Source organism: Homo sapiens, chromosome 7, assembly GCF_000001405.40.
Source record: "Homo sapiens chromosome 7, GRCh38.p14 Primary Assembly".
Classification (NCBI taxonomy): domain Eukaryota; kingdom Metazoa; phylum Chordata; class Mammalia; order Primates; family Hominidae; genus Homo; species Homo sapiens.
In genome coordinates, this window is record NC_000007.14 from 51110025 (window position 1) to 51132108 (window position 22084).

Genomic DNA, 22084 nt, shown 5'->3' on the forward strand with positions numbered 1-22084 from the left:
TGGTATTTTGATACAAGCTTACAATGTGTAATAATCAAACCAGGGTAATTGGGATATCTTTAACCTCAAACATTTAGCATTTCTTTGTATTGTAAACATTTAAAATCTTTTCTATTTCAAACTATACAATAGTTATTGTTAACAATAGTCATCCGACTATGCTACCAAACACTAGAACTTATTCCTTCGACCTAATTGAACTTTTATATCCATTAAGCATTCCCTCTTCCTCCCTCTCCCCTCCACCCTGCGCAGCCTCTGGTAACCACCAATCTACTCTCTACCTTCATGAGATCCACTTTTTTAGCTCCCACGTAAGAGTGAGAACCTGCATTATTTCTCCTTCTGTGCCTGGTTTATTTCACTTAATATAATGGCCTCCAGTTCCATCCATGTCGCTGTAAATGACAGGATTTCATTTTTTCCTTTATAGCAGAATAGTACTCTATTGTGTATATATACCACATCTTCTCTAACCATTCATCCGCTGACGGACACTTAGGTTGATTCCATATCTTTATTTTATTTTTCAATAAGTTATCGGGGTACAGGTGGTATTTGGTTACATAAGTTCTTCAGTTGTGATCTGTGAGGTTTTGGTACACCCATCACCCAAGCGGTATATACTGCACCATATTTGTTGTCTTTTATCCCTTAACCAACCTTCCACTCTTGCCCACAAGTCCCCAAAGTCCACTGTATCATTCTTATGCCTTTGTGTCCTCATAGCTTAGCTCCCACATATCAGTGAGAACATACGATGTTTGGTTTTCCATTCCTGAGTTACTTCACTTACAATCATAGTCTCCAATCTCATCCAGGTCACTGCAAATGCTGTTAATTTATTCCTTTTTATGACTGCATAGTATTCCATCATATGTATATAGCACAGTTTCTTTATCCACTCATTGATCGATGGGCATTTGGGTTGGTTCCACGATTTTGCAATTGTGAATTGTGCTGCTATAAACATGCGTGTGCAAGTATCTTTTTCGAATAATGACTTCTTTTCCTCTGGGTAGATGCCCAGTAGTGGGATTGCTGGATCAAATGGTAGTTCTACTTTTAGTTCTTTAAGGTGATACCATATCTTGACTACTGTGAATAATGCTGCAATAAACATGGGGGTGCAGACATCTCTTCAACATACTAATTTCATTTCTTTTGGATAAATACCTAGTGGTGGGATTGCTGCATCATTTAGGTTTTTGAGGAACCCCCATACTATTTTTCATAATGGCTATACTAACTTACATTCCCACCAAGAGTGCATAAGCATCCCCTTTCTCCATATCCTTGCCAGCATTTGCTTTTTCTCTCTTTGATAACAAGCCCTTCTAACTTGGCCTTTTACATACTACAAGAGGAACAGATGGGAGGCCAGTATGGCATTATTGGCATTGGAAAGAAGCTTGGTTTGTATTCACTGTCACTAGCTGCATAATTGTAAGCAGGATCCTACTCAAATGGTGTGTGCAGTGTGGCATCCTGCTCTTCCAGTGGCCCTGATTCTCCCCGCCGGCCCCACCTCAGCCTCAGCACGGAGTGTCCTCTCTCGCTGAACTGTCCTGTCCTCACGACCCATCCATCCTTCAAGGCCCATCTCAATACTACATGTCACAGAAAAGAAACAGCTGCCTCTCCCCCGTGCCTGGGCCCCTGCATGCTCCTTGACTTCATGGTAACATCTGTGTATCTTCTTAGACGGGGCCTCCTCAATACCAGGAGGAGCTGTATCCATCTGTGCTGCTCAGCACTGTGCAGTGCCAGCCAGGGCATGTGATGGGCCCCAGCAAGTGTTCACAACTAGGAGATTAAATGAGTGCATTTCTGAATGGCAAGACTGGGCAGAAAGGGCCTGTGTACATAATGCGATTTATTTATTTTACTCTCTTAACACTTACTTCACAGGGACATATGGTAAAGTGTGTTCCTAGGAAGAGGTGAAGATTAGGTAATATCCTCATCAATATCATCAAAGGAATCCAGTTCACTTGCATGGCACGGGGACCACTAAGAACAAGTCCAGGCAATTTTCAGGTGGATGTCTATTTCTATTTTTACTAAAGACTCCCACACACATAACAGTCAACTGTACAAGGCTTGGAAACAATTTAATGGTTGCAAAAGCATAAGAGAGGAGAAACTAGAATGCCATGAAGTGGGATTACAAAGTAGATTCTGTACATAGAGTAAGTATCTTTGCTATACATCAGCATTTCTATTCCAATTCATCACTGATGGAAATTGTATTGCTCTCCTCAGTGTCCTGTGGATTATTTTTATTTTTTGCCCTAAAGAAACATTGGAAGCAAAGGACCACAGAGAACTTCTAAGATATGGACCATTTAAAAATATATAGTTTATGATTAATATGTAACTTAAAAACTACTTATTAACACAATGTTACCTCCAGAAGCAAGCAGTGCTTCATGATCAATGAGCACTGTTTCCTTTCTAAGCTCCCATTCATGTTGGGGTGTCCCTGCAGATGCATAGGTTACAATATTCACTTCTGCACACAGATCTTTCAGGGAGTTTCTACAGATCTCTTTCCTGAGCACCAGTATTTGACTAATAGCTGAAATCCTCCCCTCATTTAGGCCTTGCATGGGGTCGGCTGTCCTTTGCACCTTTGGGTCTCATCAGAAGTAAAACTAGTCTGGCCTTGCTTTGCAGTCCACAGAGGAGGGGCCCTTGGGGTCCTTGCATAAGAATGCTGGTGCCTAGGGCTTAGGTCAACGCTGCAGGCAGGAAGGCACAATCAGGTTTCTCATTAGCTTCAGTTGCCCCATCTAGATCTGTTTTGAACATAATAATTGTGCTCTTGATGCCAACAGCTTCAGACACTTCTTAGACAAGCATACTCAAGTATCATCTTCTTCCCATATGTGGCAACCACAAACAAAATATAAAAACTCCTACAACCGAAAATAAATTTATTAATGGTGATGTGCTCCCATAAGACGTGGAAGCTGCAGACATCTTAACCTTCCGGAAATGATAAAAATCCTTTGGCACAGGTCTAGGGTGTGAAATGCACTCCCTCTGCACAGTAACATCTCTTGGAGAGGTACTGGTCCCACACATCCAGGGAATAGACTTCCACCCAGGATGACAGCTCATTTGGAGCATCTATGCTTCATCACAAGTTTCTAGCAGGATTCTGGCAATATTCTTAAGAGAATGGCAAAAGCAGATGTGTCAAGTGCAAAGGTGCAAAGTACTACTCAGAATATATGAAGGAAATAAAATACAAACCACATAAATAAGGAAGACTTACCAGGCTTACTGTTCTATCAACTGTTAGAACTGTATAATGAAAAGTAAAAGCTTTTATGAGCTACCATGGCTATTGTTTATAAAGTGTCCATTAAGAAATCTGACTCTTCATTTTGTCTAATCTCTCTCCAATAATATTCTATCCTCTCTTAAAAAACATTGTTAAGAAAGTTTTTAGTCACTGGAAGCTTTTACTGTCACTCAATTCCACGGCTTAAAATTACTAAAGTGGTTCCTTAACATTTATTCCTTGGCAAATGTAGAAGGCTAAATAGAAAAACACAAAAATATTGTGCTTCTTTTATTATAATTATTTCTACCAAAACAATAGATTTTGGAAAAAAAATATGTCTGAATGAGTGCTTTTTAAAGAAATCAGTCCTTTTCAATATTATTTGGAATAAATTTCTCTTCCATATCAGAAATGTGTTATTTGCTGTTCTCAGCACTTAATGGTTTAGTTTATGAGAAATATGAAACAAACTTGAATTTGATGGAATTAAGTGTGGTTCTCTTCACATAACCTAAGGTTGTCTGTTTTATATTCATTGTCTAAAAATAATCAAGGCCTGTGATTGCGCTGAAAGATTTCCAACTGACCTCAATCTATAGACACAAATCACTCCTTGCCCTCTATAGTTACAGGCCAAATGGTGGCCTTGGGAAATGTGCGTGTTTTCTAGGTTATTCCGTGTGATCCTCTCAGTACTGACAATTAGATATTTTAAAATGTGGCCAACACTCTGAACTGCTGTGAAAGATCCAAAACCTAGACTTTGGGTCTACATAAGCGATCTCCACCTTTATATGTGCAGGGAGCCTGCTGGGGAGGTCTAACACAAGTCTACGCTTGCCACAAGGCTGGAAGCTGGGGCGGCCCCTCCAACACAGTCAGGAGGGGGTGACTCCTAACACAACAGCAGAACCCCCAGGGATGACTTTTTTCTCAGCTCCACCCATCAAAGGCAAATCAGTGTGAGGAGTCCCCTGTCTCTCTACCGTGCTGCCCCTTCCTCACTGTTATACACGGTCAAATTCTGAGGGCTGGTTCTTACGTACTCCAGAAAAAAAAAAAATCCAGAGATAATAAGTGTTTCAAATTGGGTATTTAACATAAGAAACATTTACTAAAACAAAAATCTCATACTTAGAATAAAACTTTAAAAAAGGAAAGAAATCACAGTTAGCCAGAATCTCATCCTAATACTGTTTCTATAAGACAGTAAATCTGGAGAGAGATGAGAGAAAAGACTAACCTGGAAGTTTTCTTACAGAAATGATGTATCTGCCATTCTCTGTCCTTGATCAGAAGTTTGTCCTGACCTCAGGCCTTTGCAATAGGGGTCCCTTGCTTGGGATTTTCTTCCCCCAGATTGTCACAAGGCCAGTTCCTCCTAAGCATTTATTCCTTAGCACAGAGCAGAGTTCCTCAAGTTGGAATTGAAACTAACTACCCTGTTACGTCACTCTTAATCATGTCCCCAACATATTCCTTGTGATAACTTACTGATATCTGAAGTATTGTATGGATTTGTTTACTTGTTTATTTTCTACATCCCAACACTAGCTCCAATTTTAGCTATCTCCTGTAGCACAAAGCAGGCACTTAAATTATTCAGCTGAATGGATGAATGCATACACTAATGATAAATATTCACTGCAATTACCATCACCACCACAGTAAATGTGTGATTCAGATTTTTGTTTCAGCTTGTGTCAAATGGTAAGTTGCATTTTTCAAGGAATTTCTCCATTTCATCTAAGTTTTCAAAATTTTTGGTAAAAAGTTCACATTTCCTCATCTTAATGTCTATAGAATCATATTAATAAGCCATCTTTTAAAATTGATATTAATTTATGTTCTTTTTTCCCTGGATCAATCTAGATATGTTGATCATATGGTTGATCATGTGAAAGACAGAAAGAGCTCTGATTTTATGCATTTTCTCTACTACTGCTTTCGATTTCACTGATCTCTGCTTTTATTTTTATTATATCTCTCTTTCTTGGATTTATTTTGTTCTACTTTTTTTTAGCATCTTAAGATGGAATCTTAAGTCTTTGATTCTTAACCTTTAGTTTTTTCTATATGACATTTAAAGTTATAAATTTTCCTCTAAGGACTGCTGTAGCTAGATCCCACAAATTTTAATATATTGTATATTTTTTCCTTCAGTTCAAAATAGTTTCTAATTTCCTTTGTGATTTCTTTTTTGACTTAGATTACTTAAAAGTATGTTGTTTGCCAAATATTTGAGGGTTGTCCTAGACATATTGTTACTGTTGATTTCTAATGTAATACTCCACATGATATAAATCCTTTTAAGTATATTGAGATGTGTTGGTAAACATACCACATTGTACTAGAAAACAATGTGTACTCTGTAGTGGTTGGATATAGTGTTCTATAAATATCATTTATATGGATAGTTGGTAGTGTTGGTCAGATCCTCTATCTCTTCACTCATTTTTTTTGTCTAGTTGTTCTATCTGAGAGATTGTTCTCAGTCATGCTGTTCTCCAATATGATGGTGGATGTGTCTATTTCTCCTAATTTTGTCAAATCTTCATGTATTTTGAAGTTCTGTTATTAGGTACATACACATATATATGAGTATGAAATCTTCCTGATGTATTGATTCTTTAATCATTATGAAATGTCCATCTTAAACTCTAGTAATATGTAAGGCTATTTTACCTGCTACCCATCTAGTCACTCCAGTTTTCTCATGCTTACTGTTTAAATGGTATCCTTTTCTACCCATTCACTTTTAATCAGTATCTGTCTTTTTATTCAAAATAGGTTCTTATAGACAACATTCTTATCCATTCTGACAATCTCTACCTTTTAACTGGAGTGTTTAGTCTGTTAACATTTAATGTAATTATTGATATGGCTGAATTTAGATAAACCAGTTTGTTTCCTGTTGTTGCTCCTGTTTATTGTTTCTCTGTTCTTACTTTACTTTTGGGTTTTAAAAATTTAACCACTGGATTAGTTGTACCTCTTTGCATTATTTGGTTTAATGGTTGTTCCAACAATTATAATATGTGTGCTCAACTTTTACAGTCAAATTAGATTAAGTATTATAACCCTTCACATCAAATGTGGATAACTTACAATCACATAGGTCCATTTACCCAGCCCTTCCATGCTTTATGCTATAGTTGTCTTATGTATTACACTTATAGAGATTATAAACCCCAAAGACAATATTATAATTTTTAAGCAATCACATATATTGGAAGTAATCTTATATATTTTGGAAAGAAATATATCACATATATTGGAAAGAAATTAAGAGAAAAAATAGTTTTTTTATGTTTATCTAGCTATGTACCATTTCTGACACTCTTTATGTCTTTCTAAGAGTCCAAGTTTCCATCTGATATCATTTATCTTCAGCCTGAAGAATTTCTGTTAAGTGTTTCTTTTATGGAGGTCTAATGGCAATTCTTTATATTTTATTTGAAAATGTCTTTATTTTGCCTTATCCTTGAAGGATATTTTTGCTGGGTAGGTAATTCTGAATTACCAGTTGTTTTGTCTCTTCAGCACTTTAAAGATGTCCCATTGTTACCCAGATTCTACTGTTTCTGATGATAAAGTGATTCACTTTCTTTTATATATATATTTTTAATAATACTTTAAGTTCTAGGGTACATGTGCACAACGTGCAGGTTTGTTACATATGTACACATGTGCCATGTTGGTGTGCTACACCCATTAACTCGTCATTTACATTAGGTATATCTCCTAATGCTATCCCTCCCCCCTCCCCCTGCACAAAATATGGCATTTTTCTCTACTTGTGTATAAGATTTTCTCCTTAAGTCTATTTTTAAGTAATTTCATTATAAAGTACCTATGTAGCTATGCACAGTTTTCTTCTTATTTATTTTGATTTGGATTCACCAAACCTCTTTAATTTGTAAATTTTGTCTCACAAAATGTAAAAAACTTTTGGCCCTTGTTTTTTCAAATATTTTTTTCTCTTCTTATTCTGGAGTCAATAGAGTCCCAGAATAAAAAGAAAAAATAAATAAATAGAAAAAATAAATCTTTGGGGATCTACTTTTTTTTCCAAAATTTTTCTCTTCTTCTTGAAACTGGATATTTCAAATTGATTTATTTTCAACTTCACTGCCTTTTTCTTTTGTTACCTTCATTCTGTTGTTGGGCCCATCAGTGAAATTTTTATATTGGCTATTGTGTTCTTCCATTCTAGAATTTCTACTTGGTTCTTATTTATAGTTCTTATTAACCATATGAGATTTTTTCTTTTTTTCATTCATTATGAGCATATTTCCCATTATGTTGTTACCACAGTTACAAGCAGTCGTAAAATTCTTATCTGCTAATTCCAACATCTCAGTCATCTACAGATTGGTTTCTATTGACTATCTTTTTCACATTTTCGAATAGGTCGCATTTTCCTGGTTCTTCATATGTTAAATAATTTTGGCCTGCATCCTGGACATTGTTGAGTGTTATGCTTAGGAGGTTCTAGATTCCCTCATATTCCTCAGGAGACTGTAAATTACTTTGTCTTCACGGGCAATAATAAGCTGACTGGATTCACTTTAAGTCCTGTTTCTTGAGCAGCAATCAAATCTCAGTTCAGCTCTTTAGTTCTTAGCCAGGCTGCTTGGTATCTGTCCTTTTCATGCATGGTTCAAGGCTGAGCCAGAGATTTAGCCAGAATTTATCCACAGAATTTATGGCTGTCCCTCTCTGGCTTTCTCCTTTCTAGTATTCTTTCCTCACTTTCCAGAGGGCGGTGGCTGTCCTGAATTCTGGCCACATAGTTCTGAATTAGGCTAGAACAAATGGGCACCACAAGTTACTTTCCTGAGTTTACATATAATCTATTGACTACTGTATTAATTTTCTGTTGCTGCATATCACATTACCATTAGCTTGGTAGTTTAAACACAAACACACACATTTGTTATCTCAGTTTCCAGCGGTTGGGAGTCCAAGCATGGCTTAGCCGGGTCCTCTGCTCAGGGTCTCACAAGGCTGCAATCAAGGTGTCAGCAGGCTGTGTTTCTATCTGGAGGTTTGATTGGGAAGGCTCAGTGGGGTTGTTGAAAATTGCTTCTCTGGCGGGTTCAAGACTGAGAGACTTGGCCTTTTACTGACTGTTAAGCAGAGACAATCCTCGCATCCTAGGGGCCACCTGCATTTCACAATCTTTTATAATCACAGGGAGTGACATCCCATCATCTTTGCCATATCTTGTAAGTTAGAAGCAAGTTCCAAATTCCAATTCACTCAAGGAGAAGGGCTCATACAAGGATGTGAATCACTGGGGGGGAGAGGGGGAGGGGTGTCACATTAGGGTGTGTTGGTCACGAAGACCAAAAGTATGTTTTACGCTTCTATAATCTGGGGCCCTTGGAGGTTCAATAACTTCCCCAAGGTTGTATAGGTTAGTGTTGGTGGAGTCTGGGATGGATTCAAATCCAGGCAAAGCCTATGTCCTCCAAATATCCCTCCTACATTCAACAAGCAAACTACGCTCTACACTGCTGGAGCAGGCTGGACCCAGCCACAGAGAGGAATCCACAGCCAGAGCACAGTATCTGCAAATCGATGCTGTCCAGCTTTCCTGCAGCCATGTGGGATGTCAGACCCATGTCTGCAGCTCAAAATACCCAAATATAAAATTAGTTTCCTCAGTCCCAGAGTCACTTGAAAACATCTTATTTTCTAATATACAATTAAAGTCACCAGAGATTACATCACATAGGAAAGTTTTACAAATGACACAGTTTAATTCAGACACATAAAAAGGTTAAAACATACCTACCAAAGTTACAGGGACATTATCTGACAAATACAGAGATTCTGTCAGTTTGGTTATAAACTAAGTTTCCCTGGTGATATTATTACCTCTTCTAAGGTACCATAGTATTTAGGCTACCTAATCTAGGTTCTCATTACCATATATATCCTAGTGATATATATGGCGACACATTTTCTAATAGTTTAAATAAAGAGGTAGCTCAATACTAAGGGAAACATTGGTTTTGTAAGTAACAGCTATAAAACCATCATCCTCTAAGAACCAAGGGAACCAAATTATTTTTGACAAACAAACTCACAGCTGGCTTGTGAGGGAAGTCCATTTACCTTGGGCCTGTGTTTGTAAAGTAAAAGGAGGAGGGAGCGAAGCTGTGTTCATGATTCAAGGCCCTTTTCCTCTAAAATTAGACACTGCACCACGAGCTTCTCTAATATGGAAACTGGGTAGTAAGTAAAGTTTTTAAGAGGAAAAACAAGATTTTTGTATCACAAATACAGGTCAAATGTCTGTGGAATTCAAGTCTTTATAGTAAGCCTGTGTGGTCCTCCACATCAACGGGTCAAATATTATTTAGATGTTCACCAAATTATTCCCATGACAAAACCATTCACTTAAAAATATTCATCAATATAGGACTTAAAATATTTGAAAATCTTTACTATTTTTGTAAGTACTATTACAAATTCTATTAATACATTAACTCTTCAAAACCTTAGTTAAGTAGATAGGTAAGGATATTATTTGACTTCTAAGGAAATAGAACTCAGAAAAGTTGATTGGCAAGTCCTTTTGAGTGACTTGCCCAAAGTTGTACAGAAGTTGTGAAAGGATGAGACAGACCACACAGCCTCTAAACCAGTAGATCTCATTAAATACAAGATGTCTGTTCTTAATTGTTGGCTCCCTCAGCAAAGATATGCTACATGCTTTCAGATTTTTGGCCACAGTCCTGTTTGGCAATCTTAATATATTGAAATAAGTAAATATAATAAATATGGTAGTATAGAAAAAATAGAAAACAACAGAATCCTTTATAACTCTAGCTTGCAAGGATCAAACAAGGGGGTCAAAACAGTGTTGTCAAATGGTATAACATACAAAGGAGAAAGAAAATACATGGAGAGGGAGGGTAAATGGCCTAAAATATAAGTTATTTCACTGTCAAATAAATTTACCCACTAAAAATGTTTCAGGCATCAGTGAACCTTCTTAGGTTCACTGAAAATATTTTACTCAAAAATATAACACACGTAAGGCATTTGGAGAAACTATATTTACCATATTTAAGTAAAAAGATCTTACTTAAGGTTATACCTTTTAAAGGAAGTGGTTAAATAATTTTTTAAATTTTATCATTAATTATGGTAAATACACATACTATAAAATTTACCATCTTAACCACTTTTAATTGTACAGTTCAGTAGTGTTAAGTACATTCACATTGTTGTGCCACCAATCTCCAAAACTCTTTTCATCTTGTAAAACTGAAACTCTACCCATCCCACAATAACTCCCCAATTCCCACCCCCCAGGCCCTGGCAACCATCATCCTACTTTTTGTCTCCATGAATCTGACTACTGTAAGTGCCTCATCTAAGTGGAATCACATGGCATTTGTGTATTTGTCTTTTTGTGACAGGCTTGTTTCACTTAGCATGATGTCTTCAAGGTACATCCATGATGATGCATGTATCAAAATTTCCTTCCTTTTAAATGTTTAAGTATTTATTTTTGTATTATTACAGAATAATATTTCATTGTAAACAAATGAACAAACCACAGTTTATCTATTCATCCATCGATGGACACCTGTGTTACCTCCATGTTTCAGCTATTATGAATCATGCTGCGATGAACATGGGTGTACAGGTATCTGTCTGAGGCCCTGCTTTCAATTATTTTGGATATATGCCCGGAAGTGAAATTGCTAGATCCTATGGGGAATTCTATTTTGGATTTTCTGAGGACCTGTCATACTGTTTTCCACAGTGGCTGCACCATTTTACACTCCCACCAACAATGCACAAGGGTTCCAATTTCTCTACATCCCCGCCAACGCATCTTTTCTTTTGTGTTTTTTCTCATAGCAGCCATCCTAATGGGTATGAGATGGTATCTCATTGTGGTTTTGATTTGCATTTCTCTTACGATTAGTGATGCTGAGCATCTTTTCATGTGCTTGCTGACTTGTATATTTTCTTTGGAGAAATGTCTATTTAAGCCCTTTGCTCATTTTTTAATTGAGTTGTTTGTTTTTTGTTGTTGAGTTGAAGGAGTTCTCCATACAACACATCCCTTATCACATACATAATTTGCAAATATCTTCTCCCATTCTGCGGGTTGCCTTTTTAATCTGTTGACTGTGTCCTTTGGTGCACAAAAGTAAAAGCTTTGCAGATACTAAAATTTTGTAAGTTTGGTTGAGGAGTAAATCAAATGTCTTTGAAGCTGAAGGTTAGTTAACCACAATGAACCCAGAGCAGTCAAGGCTGAGTTCAGAATGTAAGTTCAAGACGAGATGGTGCCTAGGAGGCTCTGCACCCAGCTTCAGTTTCCAAATCCTGAACAGTGCCTCAAAGACAGGAATTGGATCTTTTTACACTGCTGCAAATTTAAAATCCTGATTTATATTTGAAAACCCACTTTTCTGATTGTGGATTATCAAGGTGGCTGGACAGAATCATGAATATACATATAAAGTTGCAAAATGTAAAGGTGAGAGAAATAATGAACTCACTCTTCCAGCAGTTTCCCTTCATAGTGAAAAACATACTGACTGTTGACGTGACTGACAGGCAAAACCAAAGTGACAAAGTATGACGAAGTACAAGGATAAGAACAGCATACTTAAATGATGGATATTTGAACAGCATAACTCTCTAACACAAAGCCAGCTTCCCACTTCCTCCATGTTGCTAAACTGTCAACGTGCAGGAGAGTGGCGAGCTCACCTTTCATTTTGATTTTATCACAGAGAGCTCCCATACAATGTCACACTCTAGTGAGTGTTAAAAATACTTAAGACTCTAATCTCCTTCAAACAACACTTGCTTCTTTAGCCACAAGTGTCAGAGAGGAAACGATCCACAAACAAAAGGTAGACGTTAAGCAACTAAAATAGCTCCAGCTTCCTTTCTCTGCACACTGGCGTTAGCTGCCCGGCTATTTCCACCAAGGAGGATCCTTGCAGCCTGGCTGTTTTCACAGGCTCTGCAGTGGGAGGTGCCACAGGTTCCCAGGGATGTTTGTGTCGGACAGGAACTCGGCTTCCTTTGTGCCTCTGAACACAATGCTGTCCTCATCTTCACCATCTCCAGGATGGGAGGAGGCAGCTGGACGCCAGAGATGATCTCTGCAGCACTTCTATTTCCCCAGTATTTTTAGAAAGGTTGTTTTGTACCATCATAAGTGTTGTTTTTTCGTCTCCACATTGTAGAATATAAATACAACCTATACTTGGCTGTTTATTACAAAATGCATTAGTATCAATTCAGTTATTTAGCTCTTTGCTAGTTTTGTTAATTTACTAAAATGGCAGATATGCTTTACATCTGGCACATTTAACATTTAAATGTCAGGCCAGGCACAGTGGCTCACACCTGTAATCCCAGCCCTTTGGGAAGCCGAGGTTGGTGGATCACCTGAGGTCAGGAGTTCGAGACCAGCCTGTGCAACATGGCAAAACCCTGTCTCTACTACAAACACAAAAATTAGCAGGGCATGGTGGCGCATGGCTATAATCCCAGCGACTCAGGAGGCTGATGCAGGAGAATCGCTTGAACCCAGGAGGAGGAGGCTGCAGTAGGCTGAGATCGCACCACTGACTGCACTCCAGCCTGGGCGACAGAGCGAGACTCCATCTCAAAAAAAAAAAAAAAATTGAATGACATAATTATTTTTGTAAAATGTAGACTCAAAGACAGTTTAGTTAGGCCTGAAAGAATCCTACTTGTTTTATTTGTTGTCCCTATCAAGACTTTTAAAGTCTCATAACATACTGTATGAGCAGACAGACAGATTTTTGGAAGTTGGGTAAAGCCAAAACAAAAGGAAGCATCTCAAAAAACAGGCAGATATCCGTATCTGAGCAAAACTGACAGATATATTTACAATGTATTTGGCTATGCCTACAGTAATGGCTTGGCAGTTCATGCCTTTTAACATGAATTTGACATGGGTTCCAGACTTCTTGAGTTTATGTATATTTGGAGCTGGCTAGCCTGATGAAGTTAACCCCATTTACTAAGTAGTTCCATCAAGGGAACAGAGTTCTACAGAACAAGAGCCTTGTATCCCTTGTCGCTAACTTGCCAGTTTTGCTTAATTTTTTTGACAAGAGGCCATGTGTGGAGGTGAACCAATTCTTTCATTTTCTGCCAGGATGTTTCAACTGCAGTAGGACTTTCTGCACAAGCAGAACAGGCTGCTGAGAAAGAGCACCATGAACAGACAGTGCTAAGAAAACACTCCAGTGAAAAATTCAAGGAGGCTGTGAATGATGGAGCAGGGGTACATTTTTCCTTCAAGAAGATGCATACAATTGTTTTTAAATCTTTGAGTTTTGATTCTCAACCAGCAAATGCATGACTTCCCTGTCAATGACGAGTAAATGAGTCAAACATTTTCTTCATTTCAGAATCTCTATGTCTAACAAGATCATGTTGAAGTGACTCATTGCAGTGCTACGCCATGTGACAGCACCATGCCACCTCCTCACCCACATCACCCCAGGCAGAGGCTGCAGAGCCACAGTCACCCTGCACCCCCCTCTGCCAAGTGTTACACAACTCTCTTGGATTGAATCAGCATCAATGCATGATGGCTCCATGCAGAAAAGACATCAGACAGGCCCATATTCTGTTGCTTACTGGCAGTAGTAGCAGCCCTGGGACCTCACTTTCCCTTTGTAAACCTCAGTGTCCTCATTGGTAAAATGAAGATAACAGAACCTGCCTTATAAGGATATTGTAAAGATGAAGTTATATGAGATGATGTGCATAAAAGTCCTAGCAGAGTGCCTGGGATGCAAGAAGAACTGAACTGTTGCTGGGTCTCTCTAATTGCTATTGTGCTTAACTTGGGACCTGCATCATGGGACCAGTTGGCCGACGACTGGATGACGGTGCCTTTGCTGTCTTCCTGCTGGCCAGTGTACTTCCACATGCAATTTGTCTGGCACAATGGCCTTTCATTAGCAATCTAATTCATTAGCAATTGGAGATTAGCAATCTCCAATTGATTTAGCAATTAAAATATGACCAGCAGAGATGAATAACTTCTGTCTGCTTGGACTTCTTCCATGAGTTGCATGCCACTTACCAAGAAAGAATTTGGAAGTGACACCCTCACCCAGTGTATCTCTGGCTCCCAACTGGAATGAGATGGCCTTTCCAACACTGATGGCTTCTCTGGGATGGGAATTAGACTGGAACCATACAAACTAATGTTGCTAGTGGGAACTTCCCATGGCGACGGCTGCTGCCACTGTCCTGGACACCTATGTCGTAATCTACCCAAAAGACAAGCGTTCTCTGTATTTTGGGGACATAAAGTGCTCCAATTCAGTGCTGAGTGCCTTCAAAGGGCTGAGTCTTACACACCCTTCAGTTCCTCATGGAAACTATTCTGCCTGTAGACAGGAACCCCATTTTCCTTTGTTATGATCTGAATTTGTTTCCAATTTTTTTTCTTTCTTTCTTTCTTTATTTTTGTTTTTTCTTTGACAGAGTCTCACTCTATTGCCTAGGCTAGAGTGCAGCGGCGTGACCTCAGCTCATTGCAACCTCTGTTCAGGTGATTCTCGTGTCTCAGCTTCCTGAGTAGCTGGGATTACAGGCATATGCCACCACATCCAGCTAATTTCTTCGTATTTTTAGTAGAGACAAGGTTTTCCCATTTGGCCAGGCTGGTCTTGAACTCCTGACCTTAAGTGATCTATCAGCCTCAGGCTCCCAAAGTGCTGGGATTACAGGCGTGAGCCACGGTGCCTGGCCTCTCCCACCAAAATTTGTGTGTTGAAGCCCTAATCCCCAGTGTGTGACTATATTTGGAGATGGGGCCTCTAAAGAAGTAACTAAATTAAAATGAGGTCATTAAGGTAGGCTCTAATCCAATATGACTGTACTTATAAGAAGAGGAAGGGACACCTGGGATGCACAGGTACCACAAAGGCCCTGCAAGGCCACGGCAGCAAGACAGCTGTCTGCAAGCCAAGGAGGAGCCTCAGGAGGAACCAACCTTGCTGACACCTTGGTCTTGAACTTCCAGCCTCCAGGACTGTGAGAAATAAATTTCTGTTGAAACCACCCAGTCGGCGGTATTTAGGTTTTGGCAGCCCTAGAAAACTTACACACCCTTTCACTTAAATGTTAAGGCAGTAATTATGCTTGTAAAAATTCAAACTATGATCTACTCCTCCAGACTATGTTTTAGACTTGGTCTTCTGTTTTACAAACTGTCATGGAGCCGGGCAATCACTCAGCCTCTCTGTGCCCTATCACCTATAAAACAGAGATGACAGTCCCTATCTTGTGGGGATTTGGGAAGGATTAAATAAGATACTATAGGAAAACACTAAATATAACTGCCACGTGGCACTTTCCCCACATATTCATAGCTCTCTTGCCCCAATATGGCCTGAGAGAAATTTTTTTTCTATAGTCAACTAAAACAAATGTTTTCAGAACATCCGCGTACTCATTCAAGTCCTGTCTTCTGGGGCACTGAGACGTCACCCCACTGTCTTGGGACAGAAATTAAACATCTGGATGTAGCGATTGTTTCCCAGTGAATCTTTCCATTTTTCAGCTAAAATTTTGTAATTTCTATATCGTTTAAGTAAGGGATGGTAACTTCTAGACGCTTCGATTCCAAGAATGTTCTCCTCTGAATGCCTTTTAGTTTTTTTCTCTTAAAATATGGTGTTCAGGCTGAGTGTGGTGGCTCACACTGTAATCCCAGCACTCTGGGAGGCCGAGGTGAACAGATTACTTGAGGTCAGGAGTTCAAGACCAGCTTTGCCAACATGGCGAAACCCCATCTCAACTAGAAATATAAAAATTAGCCAGCCGTGGTAGCATGCGCCTGCAATCCCAGCAGTATGGGAGGCTGAGGCAGGAGAATCGCTTGAACCTGGGAGGTGGAGCTTGCAGTGAGCCAGGATAGTGCCACTGCACTCCAGCCTGGGCAACAGAGCGAGACTCCGTCTCAAAAAAAAAAGTGTTCAGAGACCTACTCACTGAAGGAACAGATGTGGCCAGCACCGAATAGAGCGGCACCACCCCACCCTCATCCTGATCTTCATGCTTCTGTTAGGACAGGCTGGGCCACTGTACCCCTTTCACAGCCTTCACTGGCTCCTAGCCCCACCAAACTGCCTGAGTGCCCTTCTTGGGTGTGCCATTTATCAGGGCACCCTCATTCTTAGACTTGAAATTGAAGGGCTTCTGGGGTCAGCCTTGGACTGAGGTACATGGAGGAGCCTGGGTTGGACCTGGACGTGGGACTCCTCTCATTCACAGTCCATGGCATGTGTAGCAAGGAAGTGACTGATCTGGACGTCGTCAGAGACCCTGAGAGTCTGAGTCACTCACCCCTCCCAAATGTCATCTCCCAGAGGATCTGCCTGGCTTAGGGAACCACTCTGGACCCTAATGCTGCCCTATTTGCTCTCCATTCACCAAACCCTGCAGCTGTAGCAGAACATCATCCAAGTCGCTGGTTAATTCAAGGTGCTCCCCCTCTTCAGTGTCACCAGAGACCTCCCTCCAGAAAGACAATGGCCCATTCGTCTCGCATGAGCCTCCTTAGCTGTCTGACATTGAGGCCATGTTCACCCGCTCATAAATGTCTACTGAGGGTCCACCACACACCAGGCATATGCTTATGACTGGGGACACCACGGGGAACAAGTCACGGTCCCAAGCTGGGGAGTCAGCCAAGTGGATGGCAAATACAAGCTGTGTGCTCAAGGCCGTGGGACGTGGAGGGCCCTGGATCTGTCTCAACCTCGTCGCTTGTGGTCCCACCTCATATCCGTCTATCACTACCTTCTCCAAGGAGTACTACGAGATGAGTGACAACATGGGTGGCTGCTACAAAGACACAGAACTGGAAAGTCACAAACGTGAGCTACACCCAGAGTCCGGTTTCTTGAAAGAGCTCATCATGCCAGCAGGGGGGACGGGGCCACTGATGTGACAGACACCCAAGTCCCCAGCTTGTTAGGCTGCTGCCCACAACTAAACAGCGGAGCATGACTTATGACTTTGGAAAGAATTCTGGAACCCAGAAGAACAGGGAACAAACCAAGAGTATTTTTCCCTCTGCTACAGGGACAGACGCAACTGGGGAGGGTGCAGGTTCCTGTACAGAAGTCACTGGCTGCATTTTGCTTTGGACAAAAATGTATGAGGTCGGGGAAAGGATGTTGTTGTGGGAACAGAGTGTACGGTGGCCTTGTGTTCAAGGCAGACTTTTGACTTTCTGAAAGACTAAAGCATTCACAATAGGCCCCAAAAGACATAGGAACAAACACACAAAAGAAGCTGAAAAGTCTGGGGGGCGTGGCTATAAAGGAAACCTCCCTCTGGCCTGAAGGCTGGGTGTGTGAAGGCTGGGGGTGTTTTACTTAAGAGCAGTCCCAGAGAGCAAAGGGGTGATCCGGACTCCCTCAGCTCTTTTGGGGGACAGAACAATGTGCCATTGAGTTACCAACCGCTGGCAAAACACAAAATGGTAATACCACTCATTGTTCTTGACCTTCACTGGAGGATGGACACTATAACATTAAAAGGAAACAGAGTGCTCCCACGGTATTCCAGAATATGAAGCTGGGTTATTCAGTTCACAGTGGAGGAAGTGGGAAAACTTCTGCCACATCTGAAAGAAAGTCTTGGCAGCTAGTTTGTGTATATGATCTGAAGTATGTTAAACTCTAAGATGGGTCCCTGGATACATAGAAACCCCACCTTGATGGCGACACCTTCTTCCTCCCTAAGGTTTTTATTCATCCCATACAAAGTTGTAGAGGGAAAGTGTCCCTGCTCTAAACCCAGATTTACTTCTTTGCTCTTCTTTTGCAGGCATCTCTGACATGCAGCTCAGCCTGGTCTGAGACTCAGTTTCCACAACTCAGATAACAACAGACATCATAATTAGCAAGGATGCCAGGATGGCTGTGAGGGTTAGATCTAACAAGTCATGGGGAGACATTTTATGCACAGCAAAGTAAGTGGGATATGTGTGCGTGTATGTGTGTGTGTGTATTTTAAAGAGACATGGTTAAGAGACATTGGAAGACCAAACTGAGTGAAGGGAATTTAAAAAGACAGCCAGATAGCTAAGAGAAAAAAAATCTCAGATGCAGAAAAGCACCAAACACAGAGCGGGGAGGGGAGAGAAATGAGAGGGAGGGGCGGGGAGCAGGTGCTGAAGAATCCTCCCACCTTATCTTCATATTTTGTGTGGCCATTGCACCCATTTACAGAAAGCAGAAGCTCGGCCGCTCACTGTGTGATAAGTGGCAATGTCAGCCTCCAGCCCACACGGCTGCTCCTGCGGCCTCCCCTCTGCTGCCAGGGTCCTGTGCCCCTCAAGCCCCTCAAGGAGGCTCCATAAGACAGTGCTGTGCCATGCACCCCCATGTGCTCTGGCCCTCCTAAGGGCGGGTGGGCAGGTGCCTCCCTGGCCATTCCAGCAGCAGCAGCAGCAGCTCTGGTCTGAGAGGTGGCATGCAAACTGCAAATGGGCCTGCTTGTGCCCTTACTCCTACCTGTGCCCAGACAGACTGTCCCTGCCCGACCTCGCACTGAGGGAAATAAGATCGTTCTCTAGCTCTGGCACTCGCACTTTTCATGGCCCATTTACAACTCTTTTTCTTAGTGAGGAGTAAATATTCCAAGTCCTCATCAAAGTTGCCATGACTTATTCCTTAAATTCTGTCACATCCTTGAGGAAAGCAATTCTTTCGCTATTTGCGCACATTTTGAAATCATGCTTTTTTCACTGAGAAACTGTGTTAGTCCCTTCAGGCTGCCATAACAAAATACCATAGATTGGGAGGCTTATAAACAACAGACGCTGATTTCTCACAGTTCTGGAGGCTGAAGTCCAAGATCATGGTGTGGACAGACTTGTGTCTGGAGGGCCGGCTTCCTGCTTCAGAGGGCGCCTTCTTGCTTTGCGCTCACATGGTGGAAGGGGCGGGGGAGCTCTCTGGGCTCTCTTTTATAAGGACACTAATCCCATCATGAGGTTCAACCCTCATGACCTCATCACTCCCCAAACATTATCATGTTTGGAGTTAGGATTCTGACATCTGAGTTTTGGAGGACGCCAACATTTAGAGCACAGCAGAGATGACCCACACATGTTTGGTAAATAAATCATGTACACGTAAAGTAAGTTCATATAAATATTTACTGGTTTAATGAGCACAGTGTTAGACACTGTAGGTGTGTCAGGGAACACAGAATTCCTGGCTTCCTGAGCTTAGTCTGGCAGGGTCTGAAAGAAACCTGAAACCAGGGAAGGGGGCAGTTACCAGAGGGTGGAGGTGGCCAGCGAGACTTCATGGATGCAGTGACTGCCAAGCAGGGTCTGGTGCAGTGAGGAGGTGAACAGGATGCTAGGGAGAGGCAGGTGAAAGGCTCTGCTGGGTGTGGGGAGAAGCAGGAGAGATGCAGCTGGCACAGTCAACTGTGACGTGAGGCCAGCAGAGGCTTTAAAGCATGACATGACCCTGTCTCTGTTTAGATACCTGTTGCTCTAGCGAAGGTGTAAAGAAGATTCTCCAGGGTAGAGGAGCATGAGCAGAAGCAGGGTCTAGTTAGGAAGCCAGTGCACCAGGAAACATCTCAGAGGGGCATGGGAGTGCTTGAGCCCGGGAGTGCAGGTGGGAGCAAAGGGAAATGGCTGGATTCTGGATACACTTCAAAGGAAAACAGGCAGGATTCCCTGACAGGTTGATGTGGTTGATGTGTACAAGAAGAGACACCATCAAGGTGGGTCTAAAGAGTCTGTCCTCATCATCTCATACTCTGGGTGAGCCCAGATGATCCTCCCCTCCTGAGCGCATGGTAAACTGAAGGACTCTCTCTACTTTGCTGAGCCTCAGCCGACCTGAGTCCTTCCTTCCGAACAAAGCACTCCAGGAGGCCAACTGGCTGAGGAGTGGCCATGAGACACACCCGGCAAAGATCAGAGCCCTCTAATTAGTGTGAAAAGTAATTTTTCAATGTCTCCAAGCATCATCCACTTTATCAGTAACCAATTCACCACCACCACAAGCCATGTGATAAGAAACAGAAGGCAGACTTCACTCCAGGAGAAGGACAGCAGGAAGAAGTCTGCAAAGATGAGTATTGCAATGACCTCAACACCACAGCTCACAGAGATGGGAAATAAGAATGCTCATTTTAATAAGCAAAAAATATCAGGCCTAAATGCAGAGAGGACACTTGAGTCTGGCATCCATTGGCCAAGTGGTCTGCAGCCCAGCTCTCAGGGCCTTCCCAGTACAGGGGCTGCCAGGACCTGCCTCCCCCTGGGTGTCCTCTCTGCGGAACAGGATCAAGAACACACCAGAGTGACTGATGATGATCAAATGGACACTTCAGTTCTTGATGAAACGTGTCTTTGGGAGTCTGGTCAGCATAGTTTTATCACTTCCTGTATTATTCTAGTTACCAGATCCAGGAAATGGAACTTCAAGTAATAATGCTTTCCATTAAATGTCTAACATACACAGATCGTCCTCAGTCTTCACACAGTGTGAAATACTATCTTTTTATGTATACACTGTGCTGAGATATTAGAGTAATAAATACCAATTCATGCTTTCAAGTGCAAGGCCTTGTGCATAGCAGTTATTCAATATTCATTGAATACACAAGCAAATTTTTCATAGAAAAGTCTATTTTGGGTTATACTAATAACTGATCATAACACAGCCTCCATCATCACTTATTTTAATGGCCAACCATCACTAGCAATTTCAGTCCCAATGCAATAATCTTGAGATCACAGAGAAACAGACTTCTCAAGTTGGAATTTTATAGTGTTGAACATAATAAAAGCAATAATTCAAATAATAGTGAAAAAAGAAAGCTGGAATAACTTTAAAATATTTTTGAATTACTTGTCAATTACAATAAAAATGGATTTATAGTTGTATCTGCACAAAAGTAAGCATATAACTGTATATTGACTGAATAAATGAATAACTATGTATTATATATTTGTGGATAATGAAAACTAAAATTAGATAACACAGATTAGTAAACTTCCACAAGTTACTTATTTTTAATCACTTAAATGAAATACCAAAAAAGTTTTAAAAACCTGCTCTGTAACATGCCAGGTATTATACAAAGAAAGATGCCAGCAAGAATAATATAGAGTATTGTGTCAATCTTTAATAGGTAAACTGAGTCCCCTACACAAGGGTGTCTTGACAGTAATTGATTCTTCTTCTTTTTTTTTTTTTTTTCTGAAATGGAGTTTCACTCTTTCGCCCAGGCTAGAGTGCAGTGGCACGATCTCGGCCCACTGCAACCCCCACCTTCCAGTTTCAAGTGATTCTCCCGCCTCAGCCTCCCAAGCAGCTGGGATTACAGGCATCCGCCACCACGCCCAGCTAATTTTTGTATTTTTAGTAGGGATGAGGTTTCACCATGTTGGCTGGGCTTAACTCAAACTCCTGACCTTGTGATCTGCCCACCTTGGCCTCCCAAAGTGCTGGGATTACAGGCATGAGCCACCATGCCCGGTGATTTTTCTTCTTAAACAGAAGCTATCAGGACTGAAAGGGATGAGCAACTCTCTTCTCTAGAATCCTCAGAAGGTATGGAATAGTGAGTAGGGTGTTTGTAGTTTGTGGCTGAGAAGGGAAAATACCACCAACAGAGGAGAGGATGCTGGTATTGTTTAACAGAATGAACCTGCTGCAGCGCCTTGGTGATTTTTTAATTGTACATTTGGTATTTGCA

At 41.1% G+C, this 22084-nt stretch overlaps 1 protein-coding gene across 23 annotated transcripts in view, besides 2 other annotated features; it reads right to left on the bottom strand.

Annotated features, from left to right (window-relative positions):
* COBL (cordon-bleu WH2 repeat protein) overlaps window positions 1-22084 on the bottom strand; it is a 300598-nt gene that overhangs the window by 93813 nt on the left and 184701 nt on the right. The gene's annotated exons all lie outside the window — the stretch shown is intronic.
* Window positions 1180-1681: an enhancer, noted in NCBI's record as "H3K27ac hESC enhancer chr7:51178901-51179402 (GRCh37/hg19 assembly coordinates)". NCBI's record gives its function as "activates a minimal SCP1, AML or CMV promoter by ChIP-STARR-seq in naive H9 embryonic stem cells {active_cell/tissue: H9 hESC(naive)}" and the evidence as "EXISTENCE:reporter gene assay evidence [ECO:0000049][PMID:30033119]".
* Window positions 20535-20756: a silencer, noted in NCBI's record as "fragment chr7:51198256-51198477 (GRCh37/hg19 assembly coordinates)". NCBI's record gives its function as "represses an EF-1alpha promoter that drives an FKBP-Casp9 reporter gene in an ReSE screen in HepG2 liver carcinoma cells {active_cell/tissue: HepG2}" and the evidence as "EXISTENCE:reporter gene assay evidence [ECO:0000049][PMID:32094911]".